Consider the following 21,487-nt stretch of genomic DNA (forward strand, 5'->3'; position numbering starts at 1 on the left):
ACAGTGATGGCACAATCATGAATGAGTCAAATGCTGCAGCCTAAAGACAAACGACTACAGATTAATGAGCTAGATGAAGAATCTATCCTACAAATACAATGAAAATACATTTTGCCCCACCCACAGAATCTAAGATTTTCCATATTTCACACAGTGCTGATCTTAGCATCTTTATCCTCTAGGAACATGTGAACTCTTCTAGCTGTGAACTACTGAACAAGGAAAAAACAAACAACGAACAAAAAAGCCTCCTAAATCTGAATATCCCAGCACTGAGAAAGTCACTTTTCCTTTCTACAAAGAAATCTTGATCTACGAATGTAGAGTCTGCCCTAGCTAATGAACCATCTTGGCTATCATAACTGGCTGCTAGTTGTCAATAAATCTCAGACCGTGGCCAAAGCTACACAAGCTACATTTCATTTTAATGTCTTTAACATCCACACAAATGATGATGAGTTCTCTCCTTATCTCTCCCTTGATATAATAAGGAGGAACAGTCTCAGCACTGGAGGATTGGCCCAAGAATGAAGAAAGATAAATACCAGTTCTGCTCCTACACCTGTTTGCTAAGAATATCACTTGGTCTGATAGGTCTAGTTTTTCTCACCCTCCACATGGGGGCCAAGAGAGGATTTTGATCTTGATCAGGATATCTGACACCAGTCTATCATTTTCTCCTCCTGAAACAATAGCAGATATTCATGAATGAGCTTGGCATGCTTTTCTGCAAAGCCAAGAAGCAGCCTCCATGTCCTTAGCGTGGTACTCCAGGACCTCATCCCCAAAGTATGCTATGTCCACCCCGGAAGCTACATAATAGAATCACCTAGGTTGTGGACAGAATATATTAAAATTTCTATTTATAGTTATTTTTATCTTCAAAAATATGAAATAAATTCAGCGTTACTAATGCTTAATACATAGGCCGACACTGGAATCCTCCACCAATCCATTTGTCATATAATCAGTGTCACATACAGAATTAGAAGTATCCTAAGGGAGGGTGGGCATCCTATAGTGGGAAAGGAGTTGATGGGACACTTCACCTGCGGGATCACTCAGAGCTTTACAGTCCACATTCGCTCACTGCAGTGAAGTTATGGATTACAAATCTGGTTTTAATAAAATCCTGCTGACATTCCTACAAATAAATGACAGATTTAAGGTAATTAAAAGAGTGCACACACACACACACAAGAAAATGGTAGAGCTGATGTATTTCCTTCTCCTGGCATATGATCTTTTCTACCTTATTCTGGGGTGAAAACTGATGATCCAATTGCATCTGACAAGAAGTCAGCCAAACAATATTAAAACTATCAAAGCTATGTGAAATTCAGTTTTATATCCATTATTGTTAAAGAAGAGCCTGGCCTACACTAAGAGAAATCCATCATAATAACAAGATATACATACAATATTGTTTATTCCTAATGTAGCTCATGCCAACATTTCTACTTTATATTTGTTTTAAAATAGTCATAATAAACCCTATCTCTAAAAATATATATTTAATAATTAGTAACTATTACAGCGATTTAGCCTATGTATTAATACATTTATAATTATCAGTAGTGTTTCTTTTGTTTAAAGGGGTCTGTAATTTAAAAAGAAAAAATGAGTAGGGTTCCTAGTAGAGGATTTTACTGACCATGAACAAATAAACTATTTTTTTTTTTTGCATTGCCCTAATAGGTCTGCACATTTCCTTCCTTTGACTCTCTTTGTCTCAGACTGACTCTAGTATCTATGTGGCAGGATGACTTATCTTCCTCTCTGCTCTTTCTCTTCCAGAAGATGACCCTTGCTATGAAGCGGAAATAAAATTAGGGTTCTGTTGGCATAGTAACTATGAAGACACCACGTTTTTGCAACATAAAACTTTCTTTTTTAATCTTCAAGACTAAGGTCCATTTCTCCTATTGATGATTAATGCTGAGGATCCTGAAGCTCCCTTTCCCTGGAGCTCCTTCTACCTCCAAACCAGATGTTCCTGATAGACCAGGATTGTTGGGGATGGGGCTGCAAGGAAGGGCCAAGAAGTAAAAAAGACTTTAGGAAATCTCTGGAAGGAGAATAAAGAGGGGAGAACAGAAGAAAAGGGACTTTTATCCACAAGCAAGGTGGACTCTGAATGAGCTGTCTGGTAAGTAAGCACCTGTTTTGCACCACCTCATGAATAGACTAATAGGAAAGTGTTTCCATAATAGTGGATGGCACCACTCCTGCTCTAACACTTATTGCAGGCATACTAGGTGGAAACATGAGAATTCTAGCACTGCTCATAAGTGTCACGAAAACAACTCTTAAAGAGAATGCATTCATCAATCAATGTGGGGGGGGAACTAATTTCAGTGGGATTTTCAGCTTACAGGGTAACTTTCCTGGCTCCCAGGATGATGAATTTCATTTATCCTCATTACTTCCTGAGTAAATTATTTTATAATTCCTGGATTTGGCTTCTGAAGATGCCTGGTGACTCATAAATGCCAATCTGACTAATGTCTCATTTAGAGCACTCAGTACGCACAGAAGCCCAGACATCATTTCTCTTGCCAAGAAACGAATGTATATTTTCATTAAAAACAAAGAAATGAACAACTGGCACACCCAGGAACACATCTGCACCTGTTGTTACAGTGGTTTTTATATTCTACTAGCTGGATAGTCAGGAGCTGAAACACCCAGGGATGTAATGAAAAAAAAAATCCCCCTTCATATTTAAAAGAGGATTTTATGAAATTTTTATGACCCCGTGTTATTTATTGCCACTTTTTGGTCATATCTTATTTGTTACCATTTTCTCTATAGTTCATTGACCTCTACATTCAAACCTGGGGCGGGGGCTGTATTTGAATGGCAGTATTTTATTTATATAGTACTGCTCCCACAAAAAAGTTCGAAGTACTTTATAAATATCTCTTTAAACTTGAAAGTAACTTAAGTGTCACTGTCTTCATCTTAAATAAAGATACAAGAAAGGAAAGTTCAAATGGCTAAAATTAGCAAGTTAGAGAGGATTTAACAATCCAGAGAGGATTTCTGGGAAAAGATGGCAAATTGTCCTTCAATATGTATCGCCTCTCCTTCTCAAAGTCTACTAAATTGATCATAATGGAAAACATTCAGTCGTAAATGGAAAGGAAAAAATCAATGAGAGAGAAGACAGTAACATATCAGGGGTTTCAACCAAGATATGGCAGTTTTAGAAAGCCCACTGACTCTACATACCTAAGCTACATTTTCCTAAGCAAATTTATTTATGCAGCCAAAAAACACATGAAAAAATGCTCATCATCACTGGCCATCAGAGAAATGCAAATCAAAACCACAATGAGATAGCATCTCACGCCAGTTAGAATGGCAATCATTAAAAAGTCAGGAAACAACAGGTGCTGGAGAGGATGTGGAGACATGGGAACACTTTTACACTGTTGGTGGGACTGTAAACTAGTTCACCCCTTGTGGAAGTCAGTATGGCGATTCCTCAGGGATCTAGAACTAGAAATACCATTTGACCCAGCCATCCCATTACTGGGTATATACCCAAAGGACTATAAATCATGCTGCTATAAAGACACATGCACACGTATGTTTATTGTGGCACTATTCACAATAGCAAAGACTTGGAACCAACCCAAATGTCCAGCAATGATAGACTGGATTAAGAAAATGTGGCACATATACACCATGGAATACTATGCAGCCATAAAAAATGATGAGTTCATGTCCTTTGTAGGGACATGGATGAAATTGGAAATCATCATTCTCAGTAAACTATCACAAGAACAAAAAACCAAACACCGCATATTCTCACTTATAGGTGGGAATTGAACAATGAGAACACATGGACACAGGAAGGGGAACATCACACTCTGGGGACTGCTGTGGGGTAGGGGGAGGGGGGAGGGATAGCTTTAGGAGATATACCTAATGCTAAATGATGAGTTAATGGGTGCAGCACACCAGCATGGCACATGTATACATATGTAACTAACCTGCACATTGTGCACATGTACCCTAAAACTTAAAGTATAATAATAATAAAATTTTTTAAAAAACTGATATTTTGACCTAATCTACATTTATCATCTGTCCTTATATCTTAAATGGTTCCCAAATTAGGAGGGCAAGTCAGGATTTTCCTTAAGTTTGTTGAACTGTTAAGAAACAAGAGTCTCCAAATTAAAAAGGCCCACAACCATTAACTGGATGAAGTGGGTGAACATCCACACCAAGGCACGTAACCATAAAATTAAAGAGGACCAAAAACAAAAAGATCTTTAAAGCTTGCAAAGTGTTGAGGGATGATACGGTTTGGCTGTGTCCCCATCCAAATCTCATCTTGAATTGTAATCACCATGTGTCAAGGGAGGGACCTAGTGTGAGGTGACTGGATCATGGGGGCCGTTTCCCCCATACTGTTCTCGTGATAGTGAGTTCTCACAAGACCTGATGGTTTATAAGTGTGGCACTTCCCCAACCCCTGCTGCTATGTAAAATGTGCCTTGCTTCCCCTTCCCCTTCCGCCATGATTTTAAGTTTCCGGAGGCCTCCCCAGCTGTGTGGAACTGTGAGTCAATTAAACCCCTTTTCCTTACAAATTACCCAGTTTCAGGTAGTTCCTTATAGCAGTGTGAAAATGGACTAATACAGGGGGGAAAGTCACATACAAAAGAATATTAATATCTGAATCAAATAGGATCAGGTTCCTGAAATGTAACAAGGGATCATAGAAGTCAATGGTTAGTGCCTTCACAGTGCTTAGTAGAAATTAATTCCAGTCTACATTTCTATACCCAGCCAAAAGGTGAAAAGTTGAGAGTAAAATAAAGAAACTTTCAGATATAAAAGGCACACAATGTTTACTTCTGGGAGACGTGCTCCAGCATAACACAGGAGTAAAGCAAAAAAGGGGAAGAAAACAGAGGAGCATCCAACACAGCAGAGCAACAGAGAGAAGTCCCTAACTTACAGAAGGAGCGCAGCTGACCCAGAGACAGAGTCTACTCAGGAACAAGAGGACAAGGAACTCTCAGGGTGAGATCCCCAGGAGGAGATGAAGAATACACTATGTCATATAACCGGGTAGCTGGGGAACATATTGATAGTCATACGCCAAATTTGATAAAGCATTTGTGGAAAATTAAGTGTAGGTGTATATAAAACTATACAATTCTAAAAATATATATTCTAAATTGAACAATAAAGGAAATAAAAATTATGCTGCACTGATGGGCCCTTTAGTTATCACACAGATATTGAGTTCACTAAACTTTCAGAAGTAACTATACTAGCAAAACGGAGGAAAGAGAGTGAGTATAGTCATTATTGGCCTAAATCTACATCTACCAAAACAGAAAGCTAAAAAATATTATCTATCATAATGGGATAAAGTGTAGTGTTTGGATATGTAAAGGTAAACACAAGAAGAAACTGCCAAAATAAATAATTACGATCACTTCTTCAAGCAGGACTGAGGTGTGCAGAAGGGATGAAAGAGACAGCTAAAAATATTTTATGTTTAGTTTTTTTCACTGTTATTTGATGTTTTCATCTCTGCAAGTATTGCTTTGATACAATTTAAAACTCAAGGGAAAAAAATCACTTACAAGGAAAGTCTAGGTTTATATAAGATTACACTCACCGTCTATCTTGTTTAATGCTTTCGTACCTAAAGTATATTTTTTTCATTTAATAAACAATAAATTACACTACTCTTGGAGTAGCAGGTAGACTTGTTCTCACATTTGGTTCCCTCAGTACAGATTCCCCTAATGCAAAAGGTGAATAGAACATTGAAAATAAGAATGACATAACGAATGCTGAGTTTAAATATATGTATGTGTATATATATATATATATATATATATATATATATAAACTCGAGACAGCATTTTAAAAGTTAACATCTTATATTTAAGTATCATATTTGTATAAACCAGATTTTAGTTTTGAAGTTATTATAATCTTTGGAGAGTCTCTAAGAAGTTATACAATTTCCACTGGAAACCATAAGGCACATTATTAATGAATTTCTACCAACTTAATTAGTTTTCTGTGGAGTGTTTCTATGGTTGGCTAACAAATGAAGTCTACCATAGTGGAAATATATTTTATCCACAAAACCAACCCAGAAAAATATGTGGAATAATTAACCTTTTTTCTAGATAAATAAACCATAAATTCAGATAATAATTAAACTAAATTTTCAGAACTAAACCAACAAATTATTTCAAAGATGAACTCTCTTAACAGGAAATCATAAGGGGAAAATAACTGCATAAAAAGGTACTTCTCTCAGACATGCATATTATACTCATATTTCCCACATCGTTTTCAAACTTATGCTCTAAGCTTTACTCAAAATGAGGAGAAAAGTATCTATTCACTGTCCCTGTGACAGTACCGTGAATCTTTTACAAACACTGTTTCATGTGCCCACTATATTAGAAGATAACAAACTACTAATGTGAATATTTGTAGTACAAAACCTGTGTAGAACAGGTTAAAAAAACCACAGGTTTTGTGTAAAAAAACCTATATTCTATATAAAATGTTAAAGTATCTCTTCTTTTTCAGAAATTTTGATTAAAAAATGAATTTGGCTCAACATATGAGTAAGATGCTACCTTTACAGAGCAATTTTCTTTATTTTTCGATTTTTTAGTAGCTTTCTGAATTCCAAGGAAATAATTTTCTTAGGCTTAAGAAAAAATAAACATAACCTAAAAAACTGATGAACTGAGAATGATGGCTTCTAGCTTCATCCATGCCCTTGCAAAGGACATGAACTCATTCTTTTTTGTGGCTGCATAGTATTCCATGGTGTGTATGTGCCACATTTTCTTTATCCAGTCTATCATTGATGGGCATTTGGATTGGTTCCAAGTCTTGGCTATTGTATATAGTGCTGCAAACAGAAAACCAAACACCATTTGTTCTCACTCATAAGTGGGAGTTAAACAGTGAGAACACATGGACACAGGGAGAGGAACAACACACTCCAGGGCCTGTCAGGGGGTCAGGGGCAAGGGGAGGGAGATAATTAGGACAAATACCTAATGCATGCAGGGCTTAAAACCTAGATGACAGGTTGATAGGTACAGCAAACCACCATGGCACATGTATACCTATGTAACAAACCTGCACGTTCTGCACATGTATCCCAGAACTTAAAGTAAATTTTTAAAAAAAAATTATGAACTGTGAACATTTTGTGTGTGTGTGTGTGTGTGTGTGTGTTTGACAATTTTTGCATTTTTACAATTCCCCAATTATAAGAGAACCATCTGTAGTAGGGTGAATACTGGCCACCCAAAGACATTACATCCTAACCCCTGGAACCTATAAATGCTACCTTACAAAGAAAAAGGCTTTTTGTAGATTTGATAAAATGAAGGATCCTAGATAGATAGATTACTGGATTATCCAACGGGCACTAAGTCCAATCACAAGTGTCCTTATAAGAAAGGAAAGCAGAGGGAGGTTTGATAGAGACAGAAGAGAAGGCAATGTGACCACCATGCAGAGATTGCAGTGATGTACCCACAAGCCAAGGAATGCCTGCAGCCTACTAAAATGCAGGGGGCAAAGAATGGATTGTCCCCCTAGAGCCTCCGGGAGCATGACCCTGCTGACACCTGGATTTCTGTCCCATGATGCTCATTGTGGACTCCAGCCTCTAGCTCTATGAGAGAGTAAATTTCTGTTGTTTTAAGCCACTAATTTTGCCAGGAAGGAGCCTTCAGCAAACCAGTATGTCATTCTTTCAAATGTGTTTGAGTAGGTTTACAATTACTATGCTGAGCACATGAGGCAAGTCTGACACCAGACAAATCACAAGTTAAATGGAAAAACGTCACTTTCCCTGAAATTTATGAAATTCTGTTTGGGCACAGAGAAGAAATAAATGTCTAAGTTACCGACTTGCAGCTTTTTACAAAATGTTCCATTTAGAATGGAGTTTCCTATAAATTTTCCAGACAAACTTTTAACATCCAAATAAATTTTTTCTTTAATTATTACTTTTTAAAACTAATTTAAAAAGTATTACTCATTCAGCATTAAAAATTTAGATAATGCAAATAAGCAAAAAAGTAGGAAAATCAAAAGTGTATCCCTAGTTTTATTATCCAGGGATCACTTCTATTCATATTTTAGTATATCTGTCCAGCGTTCTATTACAAATATCTACATATAATTATTTTATTTTACATTATTTTATAAAAATGGATACTAATAACATGTTATAATCAACTTTTTTATATACTTAATACATTATAAATATTTTCCATATCAATATAATTTCTACAACAAAATTTTTGATGACTGCATATTTTCCATAGTATTGCTGAATAAAAATTGTATATTATCTTTTTCATACATTTAAACGCTTAGTAGGTTTTCCCATTTTTTCACTAATGAATCTTTGCTGATCCCCCAGGAGTTTTTAAAATCAAGAAGTAGACTAATTTTGTCAGTAAGAAAATTATAATATTTGTCATTTGCCCAAAAGTTGGGCTTTAATGTCAAATCTGATTCTCTATAGTAAAAGGACCACGATTTACAGCTATAGCCCTCACAGTGTATGGGGCACATGGAAATAAGTAGTTGGAAGCTTTCAGGGATCTCCAGAGAGTCCCTCCATGGGACAACAGCTCTACTGCACCCACCAATCATAAGAGTGACCCCATAAACAAGTCTGTCATCCAACTCAACAGCATTAAGCAAGGGCCAATTCTATGTGGCAAACCAGATAAATCAGGCAAAGTTATAATCTTCACTTGAAACACCTGTATCAGCTGGGAAGTTTTAATTCCTAGTATGAAAAGATTTTAGTCAATAAATAACAAAAGTGAGGTCACAAAGGATAAAGAGCTTTGCCAAAGCCACCACGGCTGTTGGTGGAAAGACCACAGTATAGAATTCGAAGTTGTAAGTTTGGACCTGCGGTGAAGAAGTTTACATTAAAACCACATGTATAATATCCTTCCGCGCTAGGTACACTAGCAGTAGCATAAGGAGTGTGTATTTGAACATATATTTAAAGATCAACACTAAAACAATAGATGGAGGCTTCAGCTACCCCTGGAGCCATATCCACTTTCTCTCCTGACTCCACTGGAACAAGGAGGTTAGGAGAATGAGCACTGGACAGGGTGAAGAGGGAGGAGCAAGGCTGAGCGTGGCTTAAGTTCCTGCTGGGGACGAGGAGATTCCTCCGGTTTTCAAAATATTCCTTTTCCATTGATTCTGCTAGGTCCTTGGTCCTTAAATATCAGAGGCAGGTAGATGTTTATATGTAAGTGTACAATCCTGACAGTGTGCAATAAATTCTTGTGGATGTAGAATGAAAGAAAAGTAGAAAAGAAGGAGGAAGAGAGAAAGCGAAGGAGGAAAAAAGGGGAGAAAGGAAAAAAGGAAGGAAAGGAGGGAGGGAAAGAGGGAGAGAGGGAAGGAGGGAGGGAAGAAGGAAGGGAGAGAGAGAGGAAAAATATTTACAAGTCTACAAAGAGTAAAAATTGCAGAAAAATAAAAGCTTGTCTCTGAAACAACAAAGGTTAGCTCATATAAACTTTTAGCTTCCTGCATTTGAGGAGACAAGCAGAAGTGAATGTTTTGATTTGTTTACAGGAAAGTGTAAGAAAGAATAAAGAGAAAATAAATATCAATGACTCTGAATTTAGATGAAAATATCAATGGAAACCACAGGCTTGAATCTAATATATATATATATATATTATATTAGATTCTATGTAAATTTTATAGAATATTATTTGTATTCTGTCTTGGTATTAAAGTCAGAAACTTACTTTGCAAAAGAAAGTCTGTATAATTGGCATAGGATTCAAGAAATGCCCCAAATGGCCAACACCAAGAAAGAGCTGTAGAGATGCATGTGATGAGGGTGGTCACATAATAAAACTAATATTTTCATTTGTGTTAAGAAGTAAAAAATGGCCCTTTGTCTAAAATGAGAAAACATGACTGTATTTCAAGTTAAATACATAATTGATCAACGGAACCCAAAGATTTAGGTGTAGAAATCAGATACATGTGATGCTAATTTCAAATACACTTACATTCAAATCAAGAGTCCTTATCATGAGATAAGCTGGATGACTGGAATTCATTTCTAAGACTGGCTGTTTTATACAAGCACCCCCTGATAGTATTTAAGGGTTACCTGCAAAGTCTTCAGCTCAGAAACATCTCCCCTCCCTTCTATGAAACTGTAATCAATCTCTTCCTTCCTGAGAGCTAAGGGACTACTACTGTTATACCTGAAGGCAAGGAATCTCAAAAAAGGCAATATAAAAATTGTTATGGTTTACAGATCATTAACTCCTTCTTGGAAACTGGTTTGTTTGACAGTTACCCTCATAAATGGGAAGATGACCGTAGCGGCTTTAGACTGGGCTTCACATCAAGCCAGGCCAAGTGCCTCACTCAAGAGGAGACAAGATTTGGGTACATGGGGCCAAGCACATGGTGAGCACAGGCCTAGGTGAGGGGCTGGTGGGACTCTCGGCAAAGGACAAAGGAACAAGCGCTGCCGGATAGGCTGCAGAATCAAGACATGGACACCTTCAATCTAGGCTGGGAGGGAACAGAAAGGAAGGGGAGCACAAAGAAATATCTCATTCTGGCTGGGTGGTGGCTCAGGTCTATAATCTCAGCACTTTGGGAGGCCGAGGCGGGTGGATCACTTGAGGTCAGGAGTGCGAGACCAGCCTGGCCAACAAGGTGAAAACTCCTACTAAAATTATAAAAATTAGGCGGGCCTGGTGGCGGATGCCTGCAATTTAAGCTACTCAGGAGGCTGAAGCAGGAGAATCGCTTGAACCTGGGAGGTGGAAAGGTTGCAGTGAGCTGACATCACACCACTGCACTCCAGCCTGGGAAACAGAGTGAGACTCAAAAAAAAAAAAAAAGGAGAGAGAGAGAGAAAGAAAGAAGTAAAGAAAAGAAAAGACAAGAGGTCATGCTAAATTAGCCCTGTTCACCTCGGACATCCAAGGTTGCCTCAGGGGCCAGGAGAAGCAACCCCCTGAAGCCAACCCTCAGGGCTGACCTCAGACGCTGACCCCACCAGCCATACGAAAAGGATGTTGTGGAAAGACAGCGATGTACTCTCCCAATCAAGGCAGACAGATTCAGTCCCAAACAGGAGACCCATGTCAACAACTGCTAATGATCCTGCTTTTCCTGTTCCTATACACACACCTCCCCTTGGTATTTCTCTTCTGGGTTACTTCCCTTTTGTAACTCAGAGAAATCCTCATGCTCAGAAATTAGCACCAATTACAAACTTTATAAAACATTTTAAATAAAAGACATATGTTATGTGCTAAATCCCCAGTTATGTGTCAGTTTGTTTGTTACAATATTGCTGCTATTTTGCTTTAACAGTATAAGCACTGTGGAACGGGTATTGTACAGCATCCACACGGCCATATAGGAACTCGGTGGGCATTTTGTGTTGGTTATATATCTACACATATAATGTTTATAAGGCATATGATTTTTCATTGTAGAGTGCCTTTTTTTTTTTTTTAAGAAAACCAAATTTGAGAATCTGCGTGGTATATCTGGGGTAAAATCATATGATATTTTTAGTACTTTCCTTATGCTTTCTGGTTTCTGTAAGAAAAGATAACATCCCAATCCAATTAAACAAGGTAAATCCTCCAGCCTTGGATGTCTGGATGAAAGAGAGCAGGATGGGATGGTAGGCACGGAACTCAGAATCCACTAAGGAGTGTGTAACAACTCACCTGCCAAATCAACTAGCCCTTACATTTTTTTTTTAATTTTGTATAGTCCATGAGATCCTGATACTGACCTATGAAAGGTGCAGAAGCCTGAAGAAAAGAAACAACTTGCTCAAAATCACATGACACAACTGCCCCACCTGTTTCAAGAGGCACCTGTGGATAGACACAAAACCCACCCAATGGCAGTGGAATCCGGTGGGGGGGAGCACAGGCTGTGGAGTCAGAATGCTGCAGTTCAAATCCAGGCTCTGCTAGTTACTAACGAGGGACCCTGGGACAGTCAGATGAACTTCTCTATGCCTCAACTAGTTCATCTGTGAAATGGGGCTACACCTGGCACTTAAACCGTTGAGTTGCCATGAGGATGAAATGGCTCTATGCCATGAAAAGTGCATAGATGAGTGCTTAATGCATTAATTAACACCTGTTCTTTAATGTCAGTTCTGTGTTATTGTCAGTTCTGTGTTATTAAGACTTCTATTTCTTTTTTTTTTTTTTTCTGAGACGGAGTCTCGCTCTGTCACCCAGGCTGGAGTGCAGTGGCACGATCTCGGCTCACTGCAAGCTCCACCTCCCGGGTTCATGCCATTCTCCTGCCTCAACCTCCCGAGTAGCTGCGACGACAGGTGCCCACCACCACGCCCGGCTAATTTTTTGTATTTTTAGTAGAGATGGGTTTTCAACGTGTTAGCCAGGATGGTCTAGATCTCCTGACCTCGTGATCCGCCCGCCTCGGCCTCCCAAAGTGCTGGGATTACAGGCGTGAGCCACCGCGCCCAGCTATTTTTTTTTATTACTATGGTCATCATTATTATCACTATTTTGTGAAGGCTTTGAGGACATCAGTGAATGGCCCTGCAAGTCTCAATGAAAGGAGGGCAGCTCCTGCTGGAGGATAAGGTGGCACACACAGTGCTCACATCTGATCCAGTAATTCCAGAGCCCAGTTCTTCCTTAGAAGTCAGCTTTCTGGACTGCCATAGCAAATCCACCAAATCCCATTTTCCATCCCACTCCCCACCTCCCAGGGTACGGGTCTGTTCATGTCACTCAGGTTGCTCTTGTCACATTACTCTGCAGCTCAGAACTTCAACCTCCAAACACGGTTTGCCTTCATGTCAATTACATGGTACAATTTAAAGTGCAGGCTCCTGTTCCCCACCACTAAGCTGAGTGCCTGAGTCAAAATTTCTGGGAAGAAGGTCCAGGAGTCTGCTTGCCAGGGGATTCTGATACTCACACAAGTTTCAGAAGTACTTGTGATTTATTTATTTGGGCACTTGTCTTATTCCTTCTACTTGGCTATAGGTTGCATCCCCCACAATACCTATTTTTATTCCTTTTTCCACAATACCATGTACACAGTAGGTTTTCAATGACTACTAATTCAATAAATGTTTGCTAACAAGCTGAAGCCACCTAGGATTCCATCTTGCTAGATAGGAGGAGAAAGGTGTGACAAGCCATCATTGCTGCAGCAAAATCACACACAGCGTCTGATACTCCAAACAGCTCCAACAAGAGTCCTAATGCACTGCAGTGGGTTGTACAGTTAAATAACTCTACTCCAGAAAAAAAAAAAAAAGTGGCAGCAATAGAGGAGAACACACAAAGACCCAGCTGCCCGAAACATGAATAGCCTAGCAAGGCAATCCCGTCAGGACCCACGGAGAATACAGATCAGCAGAAAATGGGAAATCTGAGATGAGCTAGGGTCTCAGTGGTGCTCGCCATAACCCATTTTCAACTCCCCCTTTCCTTTGCTTCCTCCTGCCTCTTTCCCTCCCCAAACCCAAAGTTATAAGAGCTATTAGGAAAAAAGAGTGACTACTGTGTGAAGGCGGAGGGTCCCGTGAGCTGGCCCTGCAGCTGGGCCCGGGCTACATTGTGTTCATTATTCCTGGGAGGCGTGAGCCCGAGAGAGCGTTCCTTCTGCAGCTGGCATCTTGTGAGCTAAGTTACTAGCAAGAATCAGAGAGGAAACACTGGACTTTGTTCTTGAAGATGATCAGAAAAAATTGGGGAAGATCTAAAAGGATTTTAAACCAACATTTCAAGGTTCAAATAGATTTTTTTAACAAAACTCAGAACACAAAAGTGACACTGTCTTTGAGAATTAAAGAATAAAACACCAGTACGTTTCCAGTCAAAACTTAAGTGTATTCTGTCAATAGTATACAATTTGGAGAATTACACGTTGCAGGTTTTCTTCCTTCAGATAGAATAATAACGCTGGAAAAGCCCTCAAGAGGTGTTGGCCCAGATTCCTGACTCCAGGGTCATGATTATCTATGCCTGGAATCGCCTCTTCAAGGTTTCTAGGGATGGAGAGTCCATAAACTTTATATAGCCCGGTGGAATGTGTTTTTCTCCTTGAATGCAGAAGTTCTTCCTGGTGTCCAAATGAAATCATTGTCGATTTCCTTTGTCTAGCTAGCCACACATACCGAGGCCAGCGGAACCCTTGCCCTCTTTGGCACACTCTTCTGATTTCCTACTATTTTTTTTTCAACGTCCTTTTAAAAGTAAAATAAATGAGTACAACCTAAGGCAGCACACAGAAAAAATTAGTCCATGAGACATGAACCCTATAATCCTTTTCAGAAAAATGATGGTTTTTATTCTAGCAAATATTTTTCTCTCTCTTACAAACACACACACATTTATTTAATATCTACATTAGATTGTTAGATTGCTAGGTATTTTTATTTTAAAACTGTGTAGTTTTTGCCCTTCCCGTTTTAAACATACTTTATAGGCTTTATCACACTTAATTCTCCTCCATATACTTGTCCCTACTGATTTCATCTTGCTTTGAGGCACCATCTTTCCTCATAGGAACAGAAATCAAAATAGCATTAATAAATCTCCTGAAGAATGTATAACGAATTTGATCTCATATCACTTTCAAATTTATAATTCCCTTGTATCATCAATTCACCAAAAGCATTAAATGTAATGTACCTAACGCCAGTTCTGTTGATTCACTCTCTCCTGTTAAGGCAGAGCCACTGACAATAGCTCTTGGGAAGTTGGAAGTTCTCCTTATCAGAATTACCATTTAAAATCACTTTAAAATGAGTCACATAGCTCACTTGCCTTATTCCACTGATGATTCCCCCATCATAATTAGAATGAAACCTAAACTTCTCGCCATGACCACAAGACTCTTTTCCCCCCACCCCCAGCGCCACCACTCATCACAACTTTCTCAAGTTCTCAGGTACACTGGCCCATTCCCTGTTGTTCCCAAACACACCAAGACCACCCACCTCATAGAATTAGTACGCCCTATTCTTTCGCCTGAAAGATTCTCCTGCAGGTTCTTCACAAATTGGATTTCTCACTAACCATGCTTGTTTACCTAGATTTTCTCCTCCCATGCCCCTCAGTGAGCAGTTAAATCCCACAAAGATGCTGGTGGGTTTTGCCCACACTGTGACACTATGCCGGTCAGACAGTGAGCACCCAATGAGTATGTGTGGAATGAATGAATGTGGATGAGGTTTTGTGCATACCACCATCACCCAAGATCGCTGTAGACGCCAACCTGACCACAGCTATGCGAGAACTGATTCCTTCACACTAAGCAATAAGGAAAAGGAGTATATCTCGAAAGCAATAAGGAAAGCATCAAGGAAAGGAGTATATCTACAAAGCTATGAAAGAAATCCATATACAAAAGCACTTTCCTTGTCTCTGATTTTATTTCCACTACTCAAAACAAATTTCTGATGATAAAACATCCATAAAACATATTTTCTTTGTGATCTCTAAATTGATTACTATATTCATCAACTCAAGCAAAAGAGAGTATCGTGTGAGAAAAAATCCAAAGCTTACCAAAATTATACATTTCATTTCTAGTTTTGTTTCCACGTTGGCATTAAAGTTTGCATAAATGAAAATGCTTTTTCTGGATTCTGAGGCATGAATATTAGTATAAATTTTGAGAGCTGAAGCAAAGCAAAAACTGCAAAATTATCCCTAAAGGATTTGGAGAGTATAACTGTTAGAAAACTTGATTTTTTATGTTTTTTTCATTCTTCAAGATATGTTTTATTCAGATTGAAAGAACAAAGGGAAGAATTATCATTAAGAACAAAACTTTTCTTGTGAACTCCAAAGTTCCACAGAGCTACAGAAATCACAGAGAGAATACAATTTTATTCATATATACTAAAACCTAGGTCTTTAGGCCGGGCTTGGTGGCTCACATCTGTAATCCCAGCACTTTGGGAGGCTGAGGTGGGCAGATCATGAGGTCAGGAGATCGAGACCATCCTAGCTAACATGGTGAAACCCCGTCTCTCCTAAAAAGACAAAAAATTAGCCGGGCATGGTGGCGGGTGCCTGTAGCCTGTAGTCCCAGCTACTCAGGAGGCTGAGGCAGGAGAATGATGTGAACCCAGGAGGCGGAGCTTGCAGTGAGCCGAGATCACACCACTGCACTCCAGCCTGGGCGACAGAGCGAGACTCCGTCTCAAAAAAAAACAAAAACAAAAAAACCCTAGGTCTTTAATGCGTGTCCAAAAGTGATAGTGTTAGGTCATTTAGAAAAATAAAACAGGATATGAATTCAGTCTACCATCACTCTGTGAATTTATTTTGTTGGTCATTTTATATTTTCATTCTTAAAAATGATTACCATTGTGAAACATAGGTCTCAAGCCCACACATCTTTGAGGCTATCTCACCAAGAGAACCCCTGCTGGCCACGTGCCCCATACCTTGCAGCCACTGTGAGTCCTTGTCTTCATCAGCGGTGTGGTCGTGCACAGCTCAATGGCCTCCGGCTCATGGAAGATGACCGCTGGGAGAGGTTCCTTTTTCAGTGTTAAGACATTCAATTTAGACTTCAGCATGGTCTGAAAGTGCTGAAAAGCAGAAAAATAAGCCACATGTAGTTTAATCACTTGGACTTTTATGTCCTGCAATTGTACATTAAACCCAGTAGCAACTTGTTTTATTGACTCTGTTCTATTAGGGGAGGCCAAGAGATATTTAGTAAAACAGAGGAGGGGGAACTGTGTCCTGTCAGGACGTCACTCAGATGAAACTGTGGAGACAGTCAATTCCTAAGCAGAGTCCACAGAAACATGACTTAGTGGTAAAGTCACCTCACCCAGGACATTATGTTCTGAGAAGCTCTTCCAACGTACTGTATACAGATGAAATTGTGGCAATGGAATCCATGCAGATTCAGCTACATAAGATGTTTGGAAGAGGATGTTATAGGGGTTATTTTGGGAAAAGTCTAGACACTGTAGAAGGAGAACAGATGAAAAAGTACACAAGACTTCTGTTCTCTGCCTTCCTGAGCTCTTTCATGCACTGGCTGTGGAACCTTAGGAAATTCACTACTTTAGGACAGACCATTTTTATCTGCTGTCTTAGGCCAGGATCCCAGGTAAATATCCATTTCATATGCAACATCCATTGGCTCTTGTTGTGAAAGATGCTCAGAATCCAACCACATTCAATTACTGCTATCCATACCACCCAGTCTAAGACCCCTCTTTCCTTGGTCTATGATAATGACATCCAACCTGGTCCCATCACTTCCAACTTTGTCCCTATACAGAGAATTGCCCCACCGTCACCAGAGAGATCCTTCTAAAATCTAATTGTGCCATGCCACCTCTGCTCAAACCCTCCCATGTCTTCCCATCTCCTCATGGAAAAATTCCAAGTTCTTACCTTGGCCTTTGAGACCACACATGATTCAAGGACCTACTACCTCTCTGATTTCATCCTCCATCCCCATCCTCTCATGTAGGGGTCCAGGCACAGTGTCCTCCTTACTATTCTGAGAATAAACCAAAGACACTTGTGCCTTAGGACCCCTGATCACGCTGCTCCTGTCGTAGGTATTTGCAAGTCTTGCTTCCTCGCCTCCTTGAGGTCCCTGATCAAATGTCACCTCATGAGACAGCCCTTCCTCATCAAAATATAAAGCAGCCGGCATACATATACACACACAAACACAGACTCATGCCTCGCTTCATGTGCCTACAGCCTGTGCTTAGGAGGGCCTCACACTCAGAAGGACTCCATACTTGGTTCAATGCCTTTGGTTTAATGTCCCCATCTTGAAAGTGGGAGGCCAAGGAAAGGGGATCACGTGAGGTCACAAGTTCGAGACCAGCCTGGCCAACATGGTGAAACCCTGTCTCTACTAAAAATACAAAAATTAGCCGGGCGTGATGTCAGGCACCTGTAATCCTAGCTACTTGGGAAGCTGAGGCAGGAGAATCGCTTGAACCTGGGAGGCGGAGGTTGCAGTGAGCCGAGACCACACCACTGTACTCCAGCCTGGGCGATAAGAGCAAGATTCCATCTCAAAAAAAAAAAAAAAGTCTTAATAATGTTATTTTGAACTTGTATTCTGTAAGGAAAGTCTGATGGGACAGTGGAGCACAGATGTGAGTGGATAAGAAACATACAGTGTGTGCATCCCCCATCCTTACCACCCACCTTCACAGAGCATTAGTGATGCCCCATAAAGACAGAATTCTGTTCAACTCTTAACATGTAGGAATTTAGCAAGAGTCAAAGTGAGTACAAGGTAAGTATTTAAGACTTGAATAAGCAGGGGCACGCACAGCCCCAAGAGGCTATGCATTGGAACCAGAACTTGCTTCAAGTTCAGAAAGAAATTAGCCTTGTTCTAAGAAACAGGAATGATCATGGAATCCTATCACATCCTTTCCCGCTTGTATTACTTCCCTGTACAAGGCAACCACCTACGTACTGAAATGATAACACAGAAGGAAAGGGAAAGGTGAGGCAGACACAGTTCCTTCTCCTTTCAGTCCTTCCTTACTCATCAGTAAGATGAAGGCAAAGTGGTGAGAGAAAGTGCACGTATCAAGAAGTGAGATAAAAACAGGTAAGTTAGTTTTGTGCAGCGTTTTCACTGTTCCGACAAAAACAAAATACAGCATGAACTAGAAAATGCAAATTGGATAATTTCTATGATCCCACCCTTACATTTGCATTTAAAGTAGGCACTGCACAATGTAAATTCATGCTCAGAATCTAAATGTTTAATTTTTCTTTACTTAGAACAGCATTAAATGGCAAATAATAATTTTAAAAACACCAGGACTATTCCAGACAAAGATTTATTTTAAAACAGCTTTATGTTTTGGTACCTTCAATGGTACGTTTCTTCTGCTTTTTGAATAAGAAACACTGAATTTTCATTTTACACTGGGCCCTATGAGTTGTGTAGCCAGTTTGCACACATAATATACTCATCTCTGCCTACTCCTTGTCCCTGCTTTATTGTTCCTATAATTTATCCCTACTTATCGCCACTATAAGATTATATACTTGCTTTGTTTACTTTATTGTCTTCCAGTAGAATATAAAAGCACCATAGGAGCAGAAACTATTTTATTCAAGGACATATCACAAGGGCCTAAAACAGTTCCTAGCACATTTCAGAAGTCCAATGAATATTTGTGGAAGGTAATGAAGGTAACATCATTTTAAAAAACAAACCACAAATATTAAAAAAAAAAAGAAAACTAAATCAGGATTCATAGACTAGATCAGCTCACTGCTTCGTCCAAGTTGACCTTAAGGACCTGGTATGGTTTATGAAACAAACACAAGACTGAAAGAAGTGGATAATGATACACACACACAAGTACCTTCGCCTCAGTAAAAACTGCCAAAAACAGTTCTTTAAAAAGTAGAGATCATTATGTTACATGAAATAAGCCAAGCACAGAAAGACAAACATTGCATGTTCTCATTTATTTGTGGGATCTAAAAATAAAAACAATTGAACTCATGAGCATAGAGAGTAGAAAGATGGTTACCAGAGGCTGTGAAGGGTAGGGGGGAGCTGTGGGGGAAGGCAGGGATGGTTAATGGGTACAAAAAAACATAGTTAGAAAGGATGAATAAGACCTACTATTTGACAGCACAGCAGGGTGATTGTAGGCAATAATAACTTAATTGTACATTTTAAAATTAATTAAAAGAGTGTAATTGGATGGTCTGTAACAAAGGATAAATGCTTGAAGGGATGGATACCCCATTCTCCATGATGTTATTATTGTGCGTTGCATGCCTGAATCAAAACAGCTCATCTCATATAAGGGCAGTAGAAGTTTTGGAATTTGTGGCAAGACAAAGTGTCTTTTCCACAAGTCCACTAGGACTCCATCTGGCCTCTCTGGTGGTCCATTTAAAGCATTGACTTGGCTAGGCTACCATGCCCAGTTATTCAAACACCAATCTATGTGTTGTTGTAAAGGTATTTTGTAGATGTGATTAAAGTCCATAATCAGTTGATTTGAAGTAAGGGAGAGTAAGCTAGATAATTAGGGCAAATTTGATTCAGTCGGTTCAAAGACCTTAAGAGGCAGCCCAGACTTCCCTGAAGAAGAAAATATTCCTCCTATGGATGCCAGCTTCAGCCCACGGTTCCAGCCCACCCTTTCTGACAGTCTCCTTTGCAGTTTTGGACTTTTCTTGCCAACCCCCACAAGTGCATATGCCAATTCCTTGAATAAACCTCTAAATATAGATGTCCTACTAGTTCTGTCTCTCTGGCTGAACCCCAATTGTTACAGCCACCTTGTAGAATAAAAAGTTGCCAGCTCTGAGGGCAACTTCTTTTTAATGGAAAAGAGACTTGCCCTTAAGTTTTCCAGAGTGTTTGACTTGAATTTAAAAAAGAAAAGTAAGAGCAAGTCTTCGTATTTCTTCCAGAAACTTCGTAATCTGGAAGTTTCTGTCCTTGCTCCTAATAGATTCCAGCCCAATGCAGAGTGTAGGGTTTGGAGTTGCCAACAGGGGACAGTGGTCTGGAAGGAGCCACATAGGTCACTGAGAGTGAGATCTGAAGGTGGTTTGCCAAGTTGGTTGGGAAAGAAATTGGGGCCAACAGAGGAACAGGATGAAGGAAGAGGGAAGCTCCAAATGTGAGGTTTGAGTAAGTGGGGGTATCTCCCCTGTCTGCCATTTTCCTCAGGCTCTACAAGACATTCATAAAAGCACAGAGCATCAATCCAACTTCTGCCACACAGCAATTTTCTGAAGAGGGCACGAGAAGTGGCCCTGCTTTCAGGAGGTTGAGACAACCACACTGCCTGGAAGTTCCGAGATGGTCTTCCCATCCGTGTTGTAAACCAAATGCCGCAACCATTGATTCAGTCACTAAGCAAACAGAGACTGAAAGGTGTGGACCAGCACACCTGCCCCTTTGATTGCTTGGCTGGGGAGCCAAGTGAAATAAATACACAGATAAACAGAAAAAGAAAAAAGAAAAGCTAAATTGGAGACAGGAAGATAACAGAGTTCAAATTCCAACTTCAACACAATATATTGTGCAACCTCAGCTACCTAACTCTTCTGAGCTTGTCTTCTCCAGCCAGGCAGGCATGTGCCACACATTTGCCTGCTGATTCATTCCACCTTCCCTGAACACCTATATGCAGCCAAATACTGTGATAGGCACAGCTGGAACAGAAATAAAACATTAGTCTCTGCTTGAAAGGGTTTCTCACAGTTGATGGAGACTGTTAAGTCCAATGACAACTGCAAATCTGTGTGAGAAGTTCTATAGCAAAGCTAGAGAGAGACTAAGAAAATATTTGAGGTGAAACAGAGAAAATGATTCCTTTAAAACGGGTACCTTCAATGGCTTTGTCCTCTTTGCCCACTGTCAAAAGATGATGGTTAAA

At 39.6% G+C, this 21,487-nt stretch overlaps 1 protein-coding gene across 7 annotated transcripts in view; it reads right to left on the reverse strand.

Annotated features, from left to right (window-relative positions):
- PID1 (phosphotyrosine interaction domain containing 1) overlaps positions 1 to 21,487 on the reverse strand; it is a 247,315-nt gene that overhangs the window by 115,332 nt on the left and 110,496 nt on the right. For 6 of the 7 annotated variants that reach the window (NM_001100818.2, NM_001330158.2, NM_017933.5 and 3 more), the window contains one exon: positions 16,514 to 16,660. The exons of the other annotated variant lie outside the window; for it this stretch is intronic. In NM_001100818.2, the coding sequence (NP_001094288.1) occupies positions 16,514 to 16,660 (147 nt within the window). The remainder of the gene's footprint in view (positions 1 to 16,513; positions 16,661 to 21,487) is intronic. 7 annotated transcript variants of the gene reach the window in all.

Source organism: Homo sapiens, chromosome 2 (genome assembly GCF_000001405.40).
Source record: "Homo sapiens chromosome 2, GRCh38.p14 Primary Assembly".
In the NCBI taxonomy this organism is placed as follows: Eukaryota; Metazoa; Chordata; class Mammalia; order Primates; family Hominidae; genus Homo; species Homo sapiens.